At 42.8% G+C, this 23,849-nt stretch overlaps 1 long non-coding RNA gene and 1 pseudogene across 1 annotated transcript in view; both read right to left on the bottom strand.

The window, feature by feature from the left end:
• LINC02750 (long intergenic non-protein coding RNA 2750) overlaps nt 1-23,800 on the bottom strand; it is a 64,973-nt gene extending 41,173 nt beyond the window's left edge. Inside the window, exons 1-7 of the long non-coding RNA NR_183624.1 lie at nt 23,446-23,800; nt 19,101-19,230; nt 17,341-17,782; nt 15,822-15,927; nt 14,636-14,748; nt 6,767-6,948; nt 1,365-1,449 (exon numbers count right to left, since the gene is read on the bottom strand). This is a non-coding gene — a long non-coding RNA (long intergenic non-protein coding RNA 2750). The remainder of the gene's footprint in view (nt 1-1,364; nt 1,450-6,766; nt 6,949-14,635; nt 14,749-15,821; nt 15,928-17,340; nt 17,783-19,100; nt 19,231-23,445) is intronic.
• GTF2IP15 (general transcription factor IIi pseudogene 15) lies at nt 6,760-6,948 on the bottom strand (annotated as a pseudogene).
• Nucleotides 23,801-23,849: the final 49 nt, after the last annotated feature.

Raw genomic sequence — 23,849 nt, 5'->3', positions numbered from 1 at the left:
GAGAGAGAGTAGACTGAAAGAGGCAAGCATGGAAACAAGGAAACCAGTTAGGAGACTATGGAGATAATCCAGGTGAGAGACGATGGCAGATGGTTCCAGGGTGGCAGCAGTGAGGAGTGAAGGACAGACTCGGATATATTCTGAAGTTGAATCAACCAGACACTGGAGGACAGGATGATCTTGGAAAATCTTGGGACTACTGCAGAATCGAATGAAGCTAAATGGCACTAAATTCCAAAATCCACTGTGAAATCCTGGGATCAGGGATTTGTTCATCTCTGTCACCTATTGTCCCCACCCAGTACTTGGCATATAATGCGGATGTAAAATGTCTTCAATTCTTGAATGAATAAATGTGGAACTGAATATATTAAAAAGCCAAAAACGCTGTAGTTTGATAGGTCATTAGGAGACCAAAAAGCATGTGGTACTAGATATGTTTTACTAATAATGGATCCTCTCCCCTGAGTAAATCTATTTCTCTTTTTTTTTTTTTTTTTTTTGAGACAGTCTTGCTCTGTTACCCAGGCTGGCAGTGGCACAATGTTAGCTCACTGCAACCTCCACCTCCCAGGATCAAGCAATTCTCGTGCCTTAGCCTCCTCAGTAGCTGGGACTATAGGCACCCACCACCATTCACCATTCCCAGATTTTTTTTTTTTTTTTGTATTTTAGTAGAGATGGGGCTTCACCATGTTGCTGAGGGTTGTCTCAAACTCCTGAGCTCAGGTAATCCACCTACTTTGGCCTCCCAAAGTGCTAGGATTATAGGCATGAGCTACCACGCTCAGCCTGAATCTATTTCTTTTTATAAAAAAATTTCCCTTTATAACTTATTTCACAGTAGTAAGCAATGAAGCTGACAAACAACTTCATATAATACAGTTGAACATCTGAACAACTTGGCCATTTCCCTGAGAGGCCAGATGTAGTCACCAAACCTCAAACCACCTCATTAACTTCCAACTAAAATACAGGGATAAATTTTACACAAGTAGTAAGCTCATGTTCTTATAAATAGCAAATCATGTGCCAGGCACCGTAGCTCACACCTGTAATCCCAGCACTTTGGGAGGCTGAGGTGGGTGGGTTACCTGCGGTCAGGAGTTCAAGACCAGCCTGGCCAACATGGTGAAACCCCATCTCTACCAAAAACTACAAAAATTAGGTGTGCGTGGTGGTGCATACCTGTAGTCCTAGCTACTTGTGAGGCTGAGGCATGAGAATCCCTTGAACCTGGGAGGCAGAAGTTGCAGAAAGCCGAGATCATGCCACTGCACTCCAGCCTGGGCAACAGAGCAAGACTCTGTCTCAAAAATAAAATAAAATAAAATAAAAATAAAGGCATACAGGATGTCACTTACATGGACAGGTGTTCAGAGCTTGTGTGGAGGCGTTGTGGATGAGGACAAAAGCCGGCTTGGAGACAATGGAGGCTAACTGGAGTTACTGGATGAAGAGAGGAGGGAAAGAGAGACAAAAGGAAAAGGGTAAGGGGAGTGGAACATTCGCCTCAGTGTGGAGGTCATCTCTGATTGCTGACAAAGGTCATCTCTGATTGCCGACAAAGGAAAATGTTGGAGAATGTCTGAAAATATTGCTAAAGGTTGGCAGTTTCAGAAAATCTTGTAATATTTCCTTTACTTTAAAAGAAAACTCAGCATCTCAAAGGGTTAGTAGGAGTTGTTCCCCACCCCCGCATTGGATTTCACAGTAGTTGAACCATTCAGCCACAGAAAATAACTCCAGTATGAACCACATTAGAATACTACCAATAAAGACATGGGACTCTCCTCTTCTGAGGTCGAGCGCTTCTATTCACTTGCTGCTCAGCCTCCTCTTCTGCCCATCCTCACCTCCTTTGCTGGCATCTCTTCCTCCCATGGAGGACTTCACACCCTCCTCACAGAGCCAGGTGCCACCTTCCACTCTTCGAGGCTCCATCATGTGCCTGGCTCCACCGCCTTCTCACGTGTAACTTCTACCTTTCACCAAGCTGAGGACACAGTGCACCCATGGTGTGTTTAAGGAGACAATTCTGATGGCCACAAAATTCTTTTGTCATGTGCTCTGTGATTTTAATTGTCCTGTCCAAACACTAATGCATGGTCCACGGTCAGGCCAAGTAAGGTTATGTTAAAATTAGGAACCACCAAGCACCTTTAATTCCTTCCAAGATCTTTTATGAGTGGGACAAAGTCAAGGGCTGTCAATGATGGCAAGAGTGGAGATTCTCCTTCTGGTGACACCTGCTGTACTCTGGTGACGATGGCAGGTCCAGCACTGCTCCAGCACCCAATCCTTGCAGTGTCTTCTACAACACTTGCACATTCTTTATATAATACAGGTTTCGCATTCTCACTTTCTGCAATAACTGTCACAACTGCCCCTAACAAAAATGGTGACTGCACTCCTCACAACCTTGAATTTGAGCTTTCTCTTCAGAAATGAAGTTTTCTACAGGTTTCATCATCTTCAGACTAATGCAAACTGAAGATCTACCTTCAGGAATATTTTTCTTTCTCTATTACTTCCCTTAGCAAGAAATGTGTAACTTCCAATCTTCAATTCTTCACCAATGCTTTGATTCTTCAGCTAAATCAAAAGCATGCTGAGGGCAAGGTGTGGTGGTTCACACCTGTAATCCCAGCACTTCGGGAGGCTGAAGTGGGTGGATCACAAGGTCAGGAGTTTGAGACCAGCCTGGCCAACATGGTGAAATCCCATTTCTTCTAAAAATACAAAAATTGGCCAGGCATGGTGGCATGCACCTGTAATCCCAGCTACTCAGGAGAATGAGGCAGGAGAATTGCTTGAACCCGGGAGGCAAATGTTTCAGTGAGCTGAAATCATGCCACTGCACTCCAGCCTGGGTGACAAAGTGAGACTCTGTCTCAAAGAAAAAAAAACAAAAACAAAAACGAAAACCATGCTTAACCTATGAGTTAAGCACTGAGTTTTGTCTTCTCCATTGCAGAACTCTTGGACAAGGATAATTTTGTTACCCTACTACAGAATTTCTCAACCACTTTCCATGCCATAATCCACACAAAATCTATTTGGCACACTGACTGACAAGTAATTGCCCCAAGGTACTGTGAAAGCTGAAGGAGCAGTATTTTAGGACACACCCATTAAGCCAACTTGAGAACATTTATTCACCTTAGTATTCATGAGAAGGATTAACTGCACAAATTTGTAAACACCTAATACACATACATAATTCATACTTGATTCCCAACACTTATTTCCTGACAATACAAAACTTCATACTAAATGGCCATTTATTAGTTCTTGGCAACATAAGTTCCTAAGGTAATGGATGATCTACAAATTGTGGTCACTTACTCTGACAATGCACAATGGCAAACAAAAAGATGGGAAATAAAGGTACACTTAGAGCTCTAATAAACTAGGTTGGGCACGGTGGCTCACGCCTGTAATCCTAACACTTTGGGAGGCCGAAGTGGGCGGATCACTTGAGGACAGGGGTCCGAGACCAGCCTGGCCAACGTGGCAAAACCCCATCTCTACTAAAAATACAAAATTTAGTCAGGCATGGTGGCATGCACCTGTAATCCCAGCTACTCAGGAGAATGAGGCAGGAGAATTGCTTGAACCCGGGAGGCAAATGTTTCAGTGAGCTGAAATCATGCCACTGCACTCCAGCCTGGGTGACAAAGTGAGACTCTGTCTCAAAGAAAAAAAAACAAAAACAAAAACGAAAACCATGCTTAACCTATGAGTTAAGCACTGAGTTTTGTCTTCTCCATTGCAGAACTCTTGGGCAAGGATAATTTTGTTACCCTACTACAGAATTTCTCAACCACTTTCCATGCCATAATCCACACAAAATCTATTTGGCACACTGACTGACAAGTAATTGCCCCAAGGTACTGTGAAAGCTGAAGGAGCAGTATTTTAGGACACACCCATTAAGCCAACTTGAGAACATTTATTCACCTTAGTATTCATGAGAAGGATTAACTGCACAAATTTGTAAACACCTAATACACATACATAGTTCATACTTGATTCCCAACACTTATTTCCTGACAATACAAAACTTCATACTAAATGGCCATTTATTAGTTCTTGGCAACATAAGTTCCTAAGGTAATGGATGATCTACAAATTGTGGTCACTTACTCTGACAATGCACAATGGCAAACAAAAAGATGGGAAATAAAGGTACACTTAGAGCTCTAATAAACTAGGTTGGGCACGGTGGCTCATGCCTGTAATCCTAACACTTTGGGAGGCCGAGGTGGGCGGATCACTTGAGGACAGGGGTCCGAGACCAGCCTGGCCAACGTGGCAAAACCCCATCTCTACTAAAAATACAAAATTTAGTCAGGCATGGTGGCATGCACCTAGAATCCCAGCTACTTGGAAGGCTGAGGCAGGAGGATCGCTTGAACCTGGGAGGCGGAGGTAGCGGTCAGCTGAGATCGCGCCATTGTACTCTAGTCTGGGCAACAAGAGCAAAACTTCATTCCCCTCAAAAAGAAAATGACATTATTTGCTCAACAGAGACTTATTAGATCTTTTTCTGTTAGCTGTGATATTCGTGTGCAGGCCAGAATGACAGTATTTGCCATTTTAGGAACAGGGCACACATGAATAAACATTAAGGTCTAAAGGCAAATAGTAACTGTTATCCCTGAACAGCTGAAATGTGGCTACTTCAAACTGAAATATCCTGTGAGTATGAAAGACACACCAATTGTCAACAAAAAGAATATATGCAAATGAAGAATGTGAAATACTTCATTGTGTGTTTATTTATAATGATTTCAGGTTGAACTCGAAAATATAAAATTATGTATGTGGCTTGCATTTGCAGCACACATTGTATTTCTTTTGGATACCACCGGTCAAAATTCAAAGCTTAATGCCAGGTGCGATGACTCACATCTGTAATCCCAGCACTTCGGGAGGCTCAGGCAGAAGGATCACCTGAACCCAGCCTGGCCAATATGGTGAAAACTCGTCTCTACACAAAATAAAAAACTTAACCAGGCATGGCTAACTTAGCCTGTAATCCCGGCTACTCGGAAGGCTGAGGCAGGAGAATTGCTTGAGCCTGGTTGCAGTGAGCCAAGATCACACCACTGCACTCCAGCCTGGGTGACAGAGTGAGACTCTGTATCAAAAAAAGAAAGAAAAAAAAAACCTTGGGTTATCCCTACACTGCATCTGTTCATATTGATAAATCACAGAGTGCCTATATTGAGCTTCTGCAAAAGATTTTTTGGGGAGGTGAAGGAAGGAGCAGTTCCATCATGTAAAAGATTAATTTTTAAAAGCTTCAAGATTAATCTGTGCTTTTAAAAAGGATTTCACAACTATTTTACTTGTTGTATTTGTTCTTGGCTGAGTAACTTCAGTTGTATTGTGAGTAAGAAGTTTTGGTCTGTAAAAAACAGTTGATATTAATATTATAATAAAACATTTAGAAGATATTTACAGGTCTTTCTCACACAGCTTTGCACTGCTAAATATTATTATTATTATTATTTGAGATGGAGTCTCATTCTGTCATCCAGGCTGGAGTGCAGTGGCACAATCTCGACTCACTGCAACCTCTGCCTCCCAGGTTCAAGCTATTCTCCTGCCTCAACCTCCTGAGTAGCTGGGACCGCAAGTTCACACCACCACACCTGGCTAATTTTTGTATTTTTAGTAGACACAGGGTTTTGCCATGTTGGCCAGGCTGGTCTTGAACTCCTGACCTCAGGTAATCCACCTGCCTCAGCCTCCCAAAGTGCTGGGATTACAAGCATGAGCCACTGTGCCCGGCCAATTTTTAAACATAATCCATTCTGCCTTCATTTTACAGTGAAAAAAAATCATTTTGGTGACTTGAATTTTGAAAATAGCAATTTTCAGACATTCAGGCGAGACCACCTGGATGTCTCCAAAGTCATCTTTTTTGTAAGATAAATATGCAAAAGTCACTTTTCCCCCAAACCAGCCCAATTATATTTCTGAATCTTAGATGAACTGTCCCACAGCACAGCCAGAAGCAGCTTGCTGTATCATCTTAAACCTTTCCTCTCCCTTATAACTCAGTCCCAACGAATACACAGATGCACAACCTCAATCAGTAAGCAAGACTCTACCCACTTCAACATTCCTTCTATGAGTAGAGAGAGGCCTTCTGTTCCTATCCCCAAACACTCAAACTATTCATGTGTTACCCTTCAAAATCAAGCCAGATTAACTTTTCTAAAGGGCAGATCCAAATTATTTTAAGAGGAAACTGCTATGAGACCAGTTAATGACTGCCACTGCTTTTGTAGGAGCCAAGACCTTCCTCCATTTGGCCACAAAAGTCTATCTAAGCAGTCCCACCATGCCCACATGGCACTCCTCACTCCACACAGAATGGGTAATGTATGTGAATATGTGAGCATATTTGACTCCTCTCTGCCTTTACTCATATTTGAAACACATTGCCTCCCTTCTGGATGCACAAGTGACTGATCTGGGTGTGCCAACCTTGCCTTCTCCCCCAAAAATGCTCAATAACTCTTCATTGCATTTTTCTGAGTATTAAGCCTCCCAAGGACAGGGTTCTTGCTAGAACCAATTTTGCACAACTGATGCTTATACTAAATAAATGTTTGTTCAATAAATGAATCTAAATGTTAATTTTAATATAAAGGAGTCATGATGAGAGGGGAACAAAAGGCCCATCTTGGTCAAATTAATCTCTCCTTAGGGAAGACAATGAATTTGTTTCTGCAGATTATCATCTTACCTCTTAATAACAAACTTAATTCAATTGCTCACTTGAAAGATGTTTTCGAGCCTTGGGATTTCATGCAATGAGGGGATTCTGAAAGGAGTGTTTTCCGGTAGTCCTTCCACATTCAGCTCATTCACATGTTTCAAATTTTTGGTACGGTGCAGCCTTGGCTTCAGTGCTCCCCAAGGCTTCAGCTGAAAAAACCAAAGTAATTCAGAAGATTATGTTTGTGTTGAAATCAGATTTTAGTACAATCCAAAGCAAGGTGCAGGTCAATTTTTTTAATTGGAAAAACTCTAGAAACATATTTACTAACTATTGAAACAGACTTAAAGCAAAGGCAAGTATAAATGACCCATCATTAGACAGATCAACGAGAGAGAAAATTAACAAGGATATTAAGGACTTGAACTCAGTTCTGGACAAAGCAGACCTAATAGACATCTACAGAACTCTCCACCCAAATCCACAGAATATACATTCTTCTCAGCACTTCATCACACTTATTCTAAAATTGATCACATAATTGGAAGTAAAACACTCCTCAGCAAATGCAAAAGAACGGAAATAATAACAAACAGTCTCTCAGACCACAGTGCAATTAAATTAGAACTCAGGATTAAGAAACTCACTCAAAACCACACAACTACATGGAAACTGAATAACCCGCTCCTGAATGACTAGTGGGTAAATAACAAAATTAAGGCAGAAATAAAGATGTTCTTCAAAACCAATAAAAACAAAGACACAACATACCAGAATCTCTGGCACACATTTAAAACAGTGTTTAGAGAGAAATTTATAACACGCAAGGCCCACAAGAGAAAGCAGGAAAGATTTAAAATTGACACCCTAACATCAAAATTAAAAGAACTAGAGAAGCAAGAAAAAACAAATTCAAAAGCTAACAGAAGACAAGAAATAACTAAGATCAGGGCAGAACTGAAGGAGATAGAGACAAGAAAAACCCTCCAAAAATTCAATGAATCCAGGAGCTGATTTTTTGAAAAGATCAACAAAATAGATAGACCACTAGCCAGAATAACAAAGAAGAAAAGAGACAAGAATCAAATAGATGCAATAAAAAAAATGATAAAGGGGCCATCACCACTGATCCCACAGAAATACCAACTACCATCAGGGAATACTATAAATACCTCTATGCAAATAAACTAGAAAATCTAGAAGAAATGGATAAATTCCTGGACACATACACCCTCCCAAGTCTAAACCAGGAAGAAGCCAAATCCCTGAACAGACCAGTAACAAGTCCTGAAATTGAGGCAGTAATTAATAGCCTACCAACCAAAAGAAGTCCAGGACCAGACAGATTCACAGCTGAATTCCAACAGAAGTACAAAGTGGAGCTGGTACCATTCCTTCTGAAATTATTCTAAACAACAGAAAAAGAGGGACTCTTCCCTAACTCATTTTATGAGGCCAGCATCACCCAGATAAAACCTGGCAGAGACACAACAAAAAAGAAAATTTCAGGCCAATATCCCTGATGAACATCGATGTGAAAATCCTCAATAAAATACTGACAAATCAAATCCAGCAACACATCAAAAAGCTTATCCACCACAATCAAGTCAGCTTCATACCTGGGATGCAAGGCTTGTTCAACATACGCAAATGGACAAATGTAATCCATCACATAAACAGAACCAATGATAAAAACCACATGATTATCTCAATAGATGCAGAAAAGGCCTTCGACAAATTTCAACACCCTTCATGCTAAAAACTCTCAATAAACTAGATATTGATGAAACATATCTCAAAATAATAAGAGCTATTTATGACAAACCCACAGCCAACATCATGCTGAATGGACAAAAACTGGAAGCATTCCCTTTGAAAACTGGCACAAGACAAGGATGCCCTCTCTCACCACTCCTATTCAACATAGTATTGGAAGTTCTGGCCAGGGTAATCAGGCAAGAGAAAGAAAGAAAGCGTATTCAATTAGGAAGAGAGGAAGTCAAATTTCTGTTTCCAGGTGGCATGATTGTTTATTTAGAAAACCCCATCGTCTCAGCCCCAAATCGCTTTAAGCTGATAATCAGCTTCAGCAAAGTCTCAGGATACAAAATCAATGTGCATAAATCACAAGCATCCCTATACACCAATAATAGAGAGCCAAATCATGAGTGAACTACCATTCACAACTGCTACAAAGAGAATAAAATGCCTAGGAATACAACTTACAAGGGATGTGAAGGACCTCTTCAAGGAGAACTACAAACCACTCCTCAAGGAAATAAGAGAGGACACAAATAAATGGAAAAACATTCCATGCTCATGGATAGGAAGAATCAATATTGTAAAAATGGCCATACTGCCCAAAGTAATTTATAGATTCAATGCTATCCCTATCAAGCTACCATTGACTTTCTTGACACAATTGGAAAAAACTACTTTAAATTTCATATGGAACCAAAAAAGAGCCCGCATAGCCAAGACAATCCTAAGCAAAAAGCACAAAGATGGAGGTATCACGCTACCTGACTTCGAACTATACTACAAGGCTACAGTAACCGAAACAGCATGGTACTGGTACTGAAACAGATATATAGACCAATGGAACAGAACAGAGGCCTCAGAAATGACATCACACATCTACAACCATCTGATCTTTGACAATCCTGACAAAAACAAGCAATGGGGAAAGGATTCCCTATTTAATAAATGGTGTTGGGAAAACTGCTTGAGCCATATGCAGAAACTGAAACTGGACCCCTTCCTTACACCTTATACAAAAATTAACCCAAGATGGATTAAAGACTTAAACGTAAGACCTAAAACCATAAAAACCCTAGAAGAAAACCTAGGCAATACCATTCAGGGCATAGGCATGGGCAAAGACTTCATGACTAAAAGGACACCAAAAGCAATGGCAACAAAAGCCAAAATTGACAGATGGGATCTAATTAAACTAAAGAGCACAGCACAGCAAAAGAAACTATCATCAGAGTGAACAAGCAACCTACAGAATGGGACAAAATTTGTGCAATCTGTCTATCTGACAAACGGCTAATTTCCAGAATCTACAAAGAACTTAAACAAAATTACAAGAAAAAAACAACCCCATCAAAAGTGGGCAAAGGATATGAACAGACGCTTCTCAAAAGAAGACATTCATGCAGCTAAAGAACAGATGAAAAAAAGCTCATCATCAATGGTCATTAGAGAAATGCAAATCAAAACCACTCCAGTTAGAATGGTGATCATTAAAAAGTCAGTAAACAGAAGATGCTGGAGGGGATGTGGAGAAATAGGAATGCTTTTACACAGTTGTTGGGCATGTAAATTAGGTTAACCATTGTGAAAGACAGTGTAGCGATTCCTCAAGGATCTAGAACCAGAAATACCATTTGATCCAGCAATCCCATTACTGGGCATATACCTAAAGGATTATAAATCATTCTGCTATAAAGATGCATACACAAGTATGTTCATTGTGGCACTATTCACAATAGCAAAAACTTGGAACTAACCCAAAAGTTCATCAATGATAGACTGGATAAAGAAAATGTGGCACATATACACCATGGAATACTATGCAGGCATAAAAAAGGATGAGTTCATGTCCTTTGCAGGAACATGGATGAAGCTGGAAATCATCATTCTTAGCAAACGAATACAAGAACAGAAAACCAAAAACTGCATGTTCTCACTCATAAGTGGGAGTTGAACAATGAGAACACTTGGACACAGGGAGGGGAACATCACACATCGGGGCCTGTCGGGGGGTTGGGGGCTAAAGAAGGGATAGCACTAGGAGAAATACCTAATGTAGATGAGGGGTTGATGGGTGCAGCAAACAACCATGGCACGTGTGTATAGCTATGTAACAAAACTGCACATTCTTCACATGTACCCCAGAACTTCAAGTATAATAAAAATAAAAATAATCACAAAATCCTGCCCCCAATCCAAGGCCACAATTTAATTAAAGCCTATAAAACAGGACAAACAAAAAAATCACTCTGTTTACTTCACTCCACAACTTGTATGTGTGGCTTACAATGCATTTACTTTAATATCAGTCTTGATAAACTCTGGAGCAGAAAGCCAGGGGTAACCCACCTAATCCTTTCATGAAATGTCTCCAACATGGCCTCGAGTGTGTGGGATCTTTCTCAAGCCACCATGCTTGAGTGCCATTTGCTGATGGCCCTTCCCCATGAGTGAAGAAGCTGTGTCACTAGTTGAACACTAGGTACGAGAGAGCATGAGAATCATGCTTGCAGCTGTAGTTAGCTGGGGGGCTGGTGGAGGGCACTGCTCCATGATTGTATATTCTGAGTTCTCCCATTTTAATGATAACTGTGTATGTTTTCTATCTTTGAAGATACTTGCATGTTTACATATCAGAATCCCAAGGCTGAGAAATAAAAATTTTAAAAATTAAAATAATAATAAGAAGAATAGCCAAGCACAGTGGCTCACGCCTGTAATCCCAACACTTTGGGAGGCCGAGTCGGGCAGATCACGAGGTCAGGGGATCGAGACCATCCTGGCTAACACGGTGAAACCCCATCTCTCCTAAAAATACAAAAAATCAGCTGGGTGTGGTGGCGGGCACCTGTAGTTCCAGCTACTCAGGAGGCTGAGGCAGGAGAATGGCGTGAACCTGGGAGGCAGAGCTTGCAGTGAGCAGAGATAGCGCCACTGCACTCCAGTCTGGGTGACAGAGCGAGACTCCATCTCAAAAATAAATAAATAAACAGATAAATAAATAAATAAATAAAAATTACCCATCATTAACAGCCTGATTTTGGCAAATTTAAGTGCCCTGGTCCCAAGACAATCTTAATAACTCTAAGATCTTAAAAGATTGAACTCTATTTTTCAATATCCTTAGGAAGAAGAGAGAGAAAGAAAATCATTATAGACAATAAAGAATACAACCTAAATACTATTTGTTTTGTTTTTTTTCTTTTTTGAGATGGAGTCTTGCTCTGTCACCCAGGCTGGAGTGCAGTAGCATGATCTCGGTTCATTCCAACCCCTGCCTCCTGGGTTCAAGTGATTCTCTTGCCTGAGCCTCCTGAGTAGCTAAAATTACAGGTGCCCGCCACCATGCCTGGCTAACTTTTGTACTTTTCAGTAGAGTCAGGGTTTCACCATGTTGGCCAGGCTGGTCTCAAACTCCTAACTTCAAGTGATGCACCCATCTCTGCCTTCCAAAGGGCTGCGATTACAGGCATGAGCCACTGCGCCCGGCCTGCAAATACTATTTGGAAGCAGCCTTTTGCTATGAACTGTTCATGACTGTAATAACCCTCCTCCATTGGCTGCTGCAAACTGGCACATTTCAGGCTAAACTTTCATCTACACTGAAACAACAAGATCAATGTTCTTTACCCCTTCAACCTCGTGAGCAAGATATATATATATATATAAAAACTCTGCACATAGAATTCATGAATTGGGAAATAAAAAAAGTAAGCAGAGGCCAGTTTAGATTACAAGAAGCATAACAACCAAAGTTAGCACGTGAAGATTTTTTGGATCCAGATTTAAAGCAAAATTTTTCAGATAATGAGAAAATGAGATACCGTCCAGGTAAGAGTGAGAAACTTGGCTGGGTGTAGTGGCTCATGCCTGTAATCCCAGCACTTTGGGAGGCCGAGGTGGCAGGATCACCTGAGGTCAGGAGTTCAAGACCAGCCTGGCCAATATGGCAAAACCCCATCTCTACTAAAAATACAAAAATTAGCCGGGTGTGGTGGCATGTGCCTGTAATCCCAGCTACTCAGGAAGCTGAGGCAGGAGAATCACTGGAGCACAGGGGGCAGGGGCTGCAGTGAGCCGAGATTACGCCATTGTACTCCAGCCTGGGCGACAGGACAAGACTCTGTCTCAAAAAAAAAAAAAAAAAAAAGAAAAGAAAAGAGTGAGGAAACTCAACTAAGGGCTGCATATGAGCTGACAACAAAAAAATCGTTGTTAATTTTGTCAGATGTGATGAGATACTGGCTGTGTAGGAATATGTAAATGTTGTTCGGGGATGCACACTGAACAGATAAAATGATGTGATGACTGATGTGCTTTACAATATTCCTGCAAAGGGAGGTAAAGGAATAGAACAAAATGTGGGACAATCTTAAAGATCACAGAAATTGAGGAATGGGTATTTTAGTGGTCATTGTACTATTTTCTCTACTTTTGAATAGGTATAAAAATTGTGATTTAAAAATGTAAAATAAAACAGCCAGGCGCAGTGACTCATACCTGTAATCCCAGCACTTTGGGAGGCCGAGGCAGGTGGATCACATGAGTCAGGATTTCGAGACCAGCCTGGTCAACATGGTGAAAGCCTGTCTCTACCAAAAATACAATAAACAAACAAACAAAAATCAGCCGGGTATTGTGGCAGGCACCTGTAATCCCAGCTACTCAGGAGGCTGAGGCAAGAGAATCCACGAGGCGGAGGCTGAAGTGAGCTGAGATTTTGCCACTGCACTCCAGCCTGGGTGACAGAGTGAGAATCCACCTCAGAAAATAAAAAAAGTAAAAATGAATTGACTAATCCCTGCTCTGAAGCCACATCCAAACAGAACTCTAAAAAAAAGATTCAAGCAATTTACATGGTGCTGCTTATATGCACATCTCCCTCGCATCTCTGTATGTAACATTTAAATATTTTGCAACATGATGGGTGGGAGTGGCTCAAAGCTGGACATGCTGGCATGTGCCTATAGCCCCAGCTACTTGGAGACTGAGGCAGGAGGATAACGTGAGCATAGGAGTTCTAGTCCAGCCCAGAGAACATAAGAAGACCCTGTTTCTTTTTTTTTTTTTTTTTTAAGATGCAGTTTCACTCTTGTTGCCCAGGCTGGAGTGTAATGGTGTGATCTCGGCTCACTGCAACCTCTGGCTGCTGGGCTCAAGCAGTTCTGCTGCCTCAGCCTCCAGAGTAGCTGGGATTACAGGCAAACACCACCACACCCAGCTAATTTTGTATTTTTAGTAGTGATGGGGTTTCTCCATGTTGGTCAGGCTGGTCTCAAACTCCTGACCTCAGGTGAACTGCCTTCCAAAATGCCGGGATTACAGGCATGGGCCACCGCACCCGGCCAACCCTGTTTCTTTAAAAAGAAAGGTCAGGGAGCTGTCAGGGAGCTCGTTGATGAATTATTTTGGCGATAGCAACAATTGCTATCAAAACACCACTATAAAATCCAAAATTATATCTATTGCCAGATCTTTCTCCTTACTTCCAAACTCATTTATCCAACTGTCTCCTCCACCTCCACACCTCAACTTAAATGTCAACTCAAAATAAATAAATTAATAATTACTTTATTTGTTCCTAGACTGGCTTTCCTCTAACATCTCAAGACTTGTCTTAAATTCTTACTTAATGTTATTAGCACCAAATCTGAAAGACTCTAGTATACAGACTCTTTGATATAAGAAACACATGTTTTTGAGAAACCACACAAAATGAAATAATTATCATAGCTGTAAAAACAAATATGCCCATAAACAAATAACAGTAAAGGATTAGAGGCTTTCAGTCACACTAGAGAGTGATGTTAAATAAAATTATCCTGTTAATTCAGCAAGAAAATATATAAACCTAATTCTAACAAACTTTCTATAAAATAAAAAAGAACCAATTGTTGAAGTTGAGAGTGAAAAAAGTGGAAGTTTCAGAAAGAGGTGAGACCAACTGCAGAATGTGCTCCTCACTTATCATCAAGGCTGCCCCAGTCACACCCCCTGCCTCCCCATCCCCTTATTCTACCTAATTCTATCCCAGACCTTAACACCTTATGTAGTAAATATCTCCTACTTACTACACCTTTCCCCACCAGATTGAATGCTCCAGAATGTATGGGGTAGTTCCCCCCACACCTGACTCACAGGTGCCAAATGACTGCAGGATTATGAGGCTGGAAGTAGTAAATATTTCTTCAATACTTGCAGTGGTTCACAGCCATGAAAAATCGAAGATTTCCTCTCTCCCTTTCAGGAACCTTAAAGAAAGCAGCAATACTGTCATAGGCATTTAAATGAGAGCAACTTGATTTTAAATAGGAGCTGGGTAAAATGAGGCTGAGACCTACTGAGCTACATTCCCAGATGGTTAAGGCTTTCTAAGTCACAGGGTGACGGAGGAGGTCAGCACAATATACAGGTCATAAAGACCTTGCTGATAAAATGAGTTGCAGTAAAAAAGCCAGCCAAAACCAAGATAATGACGAGAGTGACCTCTGGTCATCCTCACTGCTACACTCCCACCAATGCCATGGCAGTTTACAAATGCCATGGCAACATCAGGAAGTTATTCTCTGTGGTCTAAAAGGTGAAGCATAAAAATAATCCACTCCTGGCAGAGTTCGGTGGCTCTCACCTGTAATCTCGGCACTCTGGAAGGCCAAGGCGGGTGGATCACCTGAGGTCAGGAGCTTAAGACCAGCCTGGCCAACATGGTGAAACCCCATCACTACAAAAAATACAAAAAAAAAAATTAGTTGGGTGTAGTGGTACATGCCTGTGATCCCAGCTATTCAGGAGGCTGACACAGGAGAATCGCTTGAACCCAGGAGGTAGAGGTTGCAGTGAGCCCAGATCGCACCATTGCACTCCAGCCTGGAAAAAAAAAATAAAAAAAAAAATAAATAAAACAGTATGAGAGCCTGGGCGTGGTGGTTCATGCCTATAATCCCAGCAGGTTGGGAGGCTGAGGTGGGTGGATCACCTGAGGTCAGGAGTTCGAGACCAGCCTGACCAACATGGTGAAACCCCATCTCTATTAAAAATACAAAAATTAGCTGGGCATGGTGGCAGGTGCCAGTAATCCCACCTACTTGGGGGCTGAGGCAGGACAATAGCTTGAACCTGGGAGGTGGAGGTTGCAGTGATCCAAGACCATGCCACTGCACTCCAGCCTGGGTAACATGAGCGAAACTCTGTCTCAAAAACAAAACAGTAAGAGAAAACTGGAGCTGAGTCCTACTCATTGTATTTACTTTCCTAAATAAAACATCATTATAAAATACATTACTCAGTAATATAATTTAATTGAAGGGGAAAAAAACAGACTTACCAAATTTTTTTGCAAAAAGCTGATCTACCATCTTTCATAATTTAGTGATTCTGGTATACCATACTTCCTTCACTATCGAAATCACAGGAATACAAGTTTTCTCAATCTAATGGGTTTAATAACTTAGGTTATTAAATATTATTATTATAAAATGGCAGTATTTTTCTTTCCTGTGACTAATTTTTTTTTTTGAGATGGAGTCTCGCTCTGTCACCCAGGCTGGAGTGCAGTGGCACAATCTCGGCTCACTGCAAGCTCCGCCTCCTGGGCTCATGCCATTCTCCTGCCTCAGTCTCCCGAGTAGCTGGGACTACACGCACCCGGCTAATTTTTTGTATTTTTAGTAGAGACAGGGTTTCACCATGTTAGCTAGGATGGTCTCGATCTCCTGACTTCGTGCTCCACCCACCTCAGCCTCCCAAAGTGCTGGGATTACAGGCGTGAGCCACTGCACCTGGCACCATGACTAATATTATTTCTAAGATCCAGATTGTATTTATTACTGAAACAATGCTGACATACACTGCACAAAAAAAGAAAGAACCAGACATTCTTTAAAGCTAGGAAAAAGCAGAACTGTGTGCTCAAGAACCACTAGCAGACAGGATAGGCTGTCTCATGCCTGTAATCCCAGTACTTTGGGAGGCCAAGGCGGGCAGATCACCTGAGGTCAGCAGTTCCAGACCAGCCTGGCCAACACGGTGAAACCCAAACTCTACTGCAAATAAAAAAATTAGGCAGGCATGGTGGCAGGTGCCTGTAATCCCAGCTACTTGGGAGGCTGAGGCAGGAAGAATTGCTTGAACCCAGGAGGTGGAGCTTGCAGTGAGCTGAGATCATACCACTGCACTCCAGCATGGGCAACAGAGGAAAGCGCCATCTCAAAAAAAAAAAAAAAAAAAAAAAAAAAAAGAGCAGTGAACAGCTAGCAGGTGCCATTTGCTATGGGGAGACTAGGGATATGATCTTGCTGGCAATCCTTCCATTTTAGTAAATCTAAACAGTGTGATTCCATTCTTTTTTGTCTGCACTCCACTCCAGAACCAAAACAAGTAAGAAAATCAATTATATTTCTATTTCTTTCAAAACACATCTAACAATTAAGAGATGATATGCATGGCTCCATACTCTAAAAGGAACCTTCTTATGTCCTGGGTATCGTGGACATTTGATGAATGCTTGTTCAGTTGACTAGTGTAGACTTCAATAATAAACTGTTCAATGCATTATGCCAGATAAATCTTGCATCTCAAAAGTAGGACAAATATTGTGCTTTTAGTTATGTCTAACCATAAATGCAACATTTACATGTATTTATAAGGGGTTAATAAAAAGAAAATGAGTTTATTGTTCTAAAGAGTATTAGAATTTTGACAACATGAATTCTCCTGTCCTGGAACATAATTAAAAGTAAGAGGGATCTTATTTCATGTGAAAGCTACCATTAAAAAAATCATTGTTAAGCATTAAATAATTATTTCACATAATCTTCTAATCTGACTTAAGACTGAAGACCTACCTCCTGAAGCTGGTTTATCAAGTTGTAAGTCTTCATGTGTTGAATTCATAAGTTCATGTCTGAAAGGTGAGAATAAATACTTAATATTCACTAGGCAATATTCAGCAAAGTAATATTCACTGGTGCATATTTTACATTTCATCACCAAGGGTGGCTTTGAAAAGAAAAGAAAGGCTGGCCATGGTGGCTCATGGCTGTAATCCCAACACTTTGGAAGGCTGAGGCAGACAGATCACGAAGTCAGGAGTTCAAGACCAGCCTGGCCAACATGGTGAAACCCCATCTCTACTAAACATAGAAAAATTAGCCAGGCGTTGTGGCAAGTGCCTGTCATCCCAGCTGCTCAGGAGGCTGAGCTAGGAGAATCGCTTGAACTTGGGAGGCAGAGATTGCAGTGAGCCAGGATCACACTCCAGCATGGGCGACAAGAGCAAAACTCCAGCTGAAAAAAAACAAAAGAAATATCCCATTACTTTAAGGCAATGTAGATACAGCCAGAATTTCTACAGAAATCTGAACCACATTATAAAGCCAGAAAAACATACAAGCTAATATTATTTAATACAGATAGTACTCTATGGAAGAGGTAATTTTTTTTTTTTTTTTGAGATGGAGTCTCGCTCTGTCACCCAGGATGGAGTGCAGTGGCAGGATCTCAGTTCACTGCAACCATCGCCTCCTGGGTCCAAGCAATTCTCCTGTCTCAGCCTCCCGAGTAGCTGGGACTACAGCACTTGCCACCATGCCCTACTAATTTTTGTATTTTTGTAGAGACGGGGTTTCACCATATTGGTCAGGCTGGTCTTGAACTCCTGACCTCAGGAGATCCGTCCACCTTGGCCTCCCAAAGTGCTGGGATTACAGGCATGAGACACCATGCCTGGCCGGAAAAGGTAATATTTTCCAAACATAAACATTAGCATAACCTTATTGGACTTATAAAAATAATTTTTTTAGTAACAGAAGCAGAAGATTCTCCTGAACTGTACCATTTCAGCTAACATTTATTTACTTAAGATGAAAATAATATAACAGCTATAAAAAGTTAAAAGGTAGCCAGGTGCAGTGGCTCATGCCTGTAACCCAAACACTTTGGGAGGCCGAGGCAGGTGAACCACCTGAGGTCAGGAGTTTGAGACTGGCCTGGCCAACAAGGTGAAACCCCATCTCTACTAAAAATACAAAAATTAGCCAGGCATGGTGGCAATCGCCTGTAGTCCCAGCTACTAGGGAGGCTGTGGTGGGAGGATCACATGAACCTGAGTGGTGGAGGTTGCAGTGAGCTATGATCACACCACTGCACTCCAGCCTGGGTGACAGAGCAAGACTCTGTTTCAAAGAAAAAAAAGAAAAAGTCAAGAGCATGGGGAGTATTAAAATCAGACAGAACCAATGGTCTATCATCAGAACAGCTCCATTTTTTTGTTAACATTATGTGTTAAGGTCAATTTGCTAAACATTAATATTTGTACTAAAGTTTTACATGTACCATATAACACATTAGTGCTGACTTAGGTTTAATGTCCTTTGCTGTACAATATACTTGAATATCATACTTATATATCACAACAAAAGTATCTTTCCCTAAGGCAATTACCATTAATACTGCTTTAAAGTTATAAAATGTGGGCTGAGGGGTGGCTCACACCTGTAATCCCAGCACTTTAGGAGTCCAAGGCAGGCAGATCACGAGGTCAAGAGATCAAAACCATCCTGGCCAACATGGTGAAACCCTGTCTCTACTGAAGGACAAAAATTACCTGGGCAGGGTGATGCACACCTGTAGTCCCAGCTACTTGGGAGGCTGAGGCAGGAGAATCTCTTGAATCCGGGAGGCAGAGGTTGTGGTGAGCCGAGATTGCAACTCCAGCAACAAGTGTGAAACTTTGTCTCAAAAAAAAAAATTATGAAATGTGAAGATTGTTTTTATAATTTTACAACACCTGAGCATTACTGTCTTTAAATAATCTAATAAATCACCATCACAACAAAAGCCTCACAAGCTAATCTGTTTCACCTTATAAAAAGTACCGACATTTAGTGCGCAATAATTTGTTGCAGCAGCCACGGGAAACTAGTATCGTAGTAAAGCCTCAAAACCCACATGAAGGGGCTGGGCATGGTGGCTCATGCCTGTAATCCCAGCACTTTGGGAGGCCAAGGTGGGTGGATCACTTGAGGTCAGGAATTTGAGACCAGCCTTGCCAACATGGTGAAACCCCATTTCTAAAAAAAATACAAAAATTAGCCAGGCGTGGTGGCACATGCCTATAATCTCAGCTACTCAGGAGGCTGAGACATGGGAACTGTTTGAACCCAGGGTGGGGCGGAGGTTGCAATGAGCCAAGATTGTGCCACTGCACCCCACCCTGGGTGACAGAGCAAGGCTCCAGCTCAACAACAACAACAACAAAAAACCCCACCTGAAGAAGGTTTCCAGTTCTGTCAACAGTGCCCCACCAAACCCCTTAGAAGCACACATTCCTTTGCTGTGGGCCATGGACAAGAAGAAGGAAGCGCCTCCTCATGGCAGGGGCCTACACAGGAGAAACTCAAGGGAAGGCACGCCAGGCCGGTCCTTCTGCCAAGGCCATTTTCTTTTCTTTTCTTTTTTTTGAGACACAGTTTCACTCTGTCTCCCAGACTGGAGTGCAGTGACACAATCTTGGCTGACTTCGACCTCTGCCTCCCCAGTTCAAGTGATTCTCCTGCCTCAGCCTCCTGAGTAGCAGGGATTACAGGAGCATAGCATGCCTAGCTAATTTTTGTATTTTTAGTAGAGATGGGATTCTGCCATGTTCCCCAGGCTGGGCTCAAACTCCTCGCCTCAAGTGATCCACCTATCTCAGCCTCCCAAAGTGCTGAGGAGTGAGCCACCGCACCCAGCACTCACCATGGCCTTTGATGGCAGGCTTTTTCCAGGTGAGCACTCTTGTCTGGTCTGGCTCTCCCCCACTCTCCCTCTCACCAAGTTGGAATCCCTCACTACTTTTCAGTAGAGGAGAGTGTGTACCCCAGTCTCAGCTTGGTATGATTCAGGTCTGCATTGAACTCATGAAACCTGGCTGATCCTCAAGCCCTGGAGAAAAAAAAAGTGTCTCTCTGCAGGTATGATATGGGATGGGCCTGTCCCCAGGACCCTGGGAGAGGGAAGCCCAATGTCCCACCAGGTTGGCAGTGCTGGGGAAGGGAAAGTGTTATGGTAGCCCCAAGACTAAAAAGAGGCAGCAGAGGGAGCAGGGCATCACTCCTATTGAACTCATGCCGCTGCCTGAGTGAGGTGAGGGAGGAGTGCACCCGAGTGACGTGAGGCAGAGAGGTGCGGTTCCAGGATGGCCTTCACCCTCCCTTCCTGCCATGTTACTCTGATCCCCTGCAGGTGAGCCTGCCCACTTTGGGCTTAGGGATGCCGCTGAGGCGTGTACTCAAACGCAGCTTCCCATGCATCATGTCTCCAGGAGTGGGGCAGAGCAGGGAGGAGTCCTAGACAGAGGAGAGGCCAGGGCAGGAGGGAGTGGGCCTCAAACTCCAGGACGGGGCCCTTCTCATGGGTCCTCTTTTCCGGTCTCTCCTTCCTTACCCCTGGGCAGATCACCTGGGGAAGAACTGAGGCAAGGTTTCTCATCCTCAGGTCAGAGGGGTTCAATTACCAGGCCCAAGTAGCTGGGATTACAGGCAAGCACCACCATGCCTGGTTAATTTTGTATTTTTAGTAGACACAGGGTTTCACCATGTTGCCCAGGCTGGTCTCGAACTCCTGACCTCAGTTGATCCACCCACCTCTCCCTCCCAAAGTGCTGGGATTACAGGTGTAAGCCACCAAGACCGGTCAAGAAATCCTTTTTCAAAAACGAGCTGGGCTCAGTGGCTCATGCCGAAAATCCCAGCAATTTGGGAGGCCGAGGTGGGTGGATCACTTGAGGTCAGGAGTTTGAGACCAGCCTGGGCAACATGATGTAACCCCGTGTCTACTAAAAATATATATATATATATAAATTAGCCGGGTGTGGTGTTGGCCACCTGTAATCCCATCTTTTCAGGAGGCTGAGGCAGGAGAATCACTTGAACCTGGGAGACGGAGGTTGCAGTGAGCCGAGATCATGCCACTGCAATGCAGCCTGGGTGACAACAGTGAGACTCCATCGCAAAAACAAAAACAAAAACAGATTCCATCTCAAAAAAATAAATAAATAAAAATAAATAAAACAAAAAACAAATGTGGTATGGCAATGAAAATACTGTGTTAAAGTTTCATAGAAAATAAAAGACCACTCAGATACAATAAGCTGTCTTTTTAGATGAGTATATTTGTTATTCTTATTTTATAGCTAAGAAACCGGTTAGAAGAATGCTATTTGATTGGACCATGTTGCATTTCTGGACAGTGCAGCTGAGATCATACTTCATGTGTAACTCCACTAGCCTACCAGGGTGCCTCTCATAAAGGTAAGAAATGTAAATTTGGCCTAATATACAGTTTCCAGGGCAGCACTGGGTCAATTCTACATGCAGTACTTCTATGTTCATCAAGGGAAACCTTAAGGAAAGGTGAAAATGCTTCTAGAAGGCAACTGGACACCAGTGCCCTTGTTTGTTGCCTTTGGGCTCTTCCTCTAAGGCCAATAGTGACCTGAAATTACTAACTATTCCAATCAAGTGGACAAAATGGTACCAAGGTCGTCAACATCAGACAAATTCACTTGAGGACCTATGTGCTTTGAAAGACAAAACTGCTTTTGTAAAGGATACTGTATTTCAGAAAAACATAATCATATTACAACTAATAACACTGTAAAATGCTGATGTGTTGAATGCTACTTTAGAAAAACATGTTCAAATCTAGGAAAAAAATTTCTCATAGAAAACTACATATCGGCTGGGCGAGGTGGCTCATGCCTGTAATCCCAGCACTTTGGGAGGCTGAGGCGGGCATATCACGAGGTCAGGAGCTCAAGATCAGCCTGACCAACATGGTGAAACCCCATCTCTACTAAAGATACAAAAAGTTAGCCAGACGTGGTGGTGTGTGCCTATAATTCCCAGCTACTCAGGAGGCTGAGGCAGGAGAATCGCTTGAACCCAGGAGGCAGAGGTTGCAGTGAGCCAAGATCACACCACTGCACCCCGGCCTACGTGACAGAACAAGACTCTGTCTCAAAAAAAGAAAGAAAGAAAGAAAGAAAACTACGTGTCAATTATCTAGCTAGCTAGCTAACTATCTAGAGACAGGCTTTCATTCTATTGCTCAGGATGGAGAGCAGTGGGATGATCATAGCTCACTGCAGCCTTGAGCTCCTGGCCTCAAGTGATCCTCCTGCCTCAGCCTCTTAAGTAGCTAGGGCCACAGGTGGACACATTTACACCTCGGTTTTTTGTTTGTTTTATAGAGATAGGGTTTCACTACATTGCCCAGGTTGGTGTCAAACTGGAGTCTCACTGTGTCGCCCAGGCTGGGGTGCAGTGGTGCGATCTCGGCTCACTGCAACCTCTGCCTCCTGGGTTCAAGCGATTCTCCTGTATCAGCCTCCCGAGGAGCTGGGACTTCAGGCATGCACCACCACATACGGCTAATTTTTGTATTTTTTGTAGAGACTGGGTTTCACCATGGCCAGGCTAGTCTCGAACTCCTGACCTCAGGTGATCCACCCGCCTCGGCCTCCCAAAGTGCTGGGATTACAGGTGTCAGCCAGCAAGCCTGGATGAGCACTTTATGTTATTAAATAGCCTAATCCAAGCAGGGCGCGGTCCCTCACGCCTGTAATCCCGACAACTCTGATGGCCAAGGTGAGAAGATCGCTTAAACCCAGTTGTTCGAAACCGGCCTGGGCAACATAGCGAGACCCCCATCTCTACAAAAGGTACAAAAATTTGGCCAGGTGCGCACCGCGCCTGGCTAATTTTTGTACCTTTTGTAGAGACCGGGTTTCATCATGTTGCCCAGGCTGGTCTCAAACTCCTGAGCCCAAGCCATCCATCCTCCCGCCTCGGCCTCCCAAAACGCTGGGATTACAGGGCCCAGCCAGCCTCATGTTTTTTTTAAGCAGTCCCTCCCCTTGCACACTTGGATAGTTTTTTTTTATTATTATTATTTTAGACAGGGTTTACCTCAGTCTGGCAGGCTGCAATGCTGTGGTGGGATCATAGCTCACTGGAGCCTTCAACCTTGGGGTTCAAGTAGCTGGGGGTTGAGGTAGGACTACAGAGATCCGGTCGCGCCATATTGCTAGGTTGCTCTTGGCCTGAAGGGATCCTCCAGCCTCGGCTGCGCCCGGACATAGTTTTCCAGTTTTGACCGATATAAACACTGTGCTTGGTCTGAGTTTTCAACTACCCTTCTCCAGCTAGCAACACACAGGACCTGGCGGGGAGGTCGTGGTTACCAGGCTCCACTCTGATGATAAGACTGCCCAGCTACAAGCACCGTGCAGCCCCAGTAACGTCGCCGAACGCCCTCGCCTGTGACGTCGCCGAAGGCCCACCTCTATGGCGTCGCCGAGGAACGTCTCTCA

Source organism: Homo sapiens, chromosome 11 (assembly GCF_000001405.40).
Source record: "Homo sapiens chromosome 11, GRCh38.p14 Primary Assembly".
NCBI lineage: Eukaryota > Metazoa > Chordata > Mammalia > Primates > Hominidae > Homo > Homo sapiens.
Note: the sequence above shows the minus strand (reverse complement) of the source record. Positions and strands in the feature narration are given on the sequence as shown.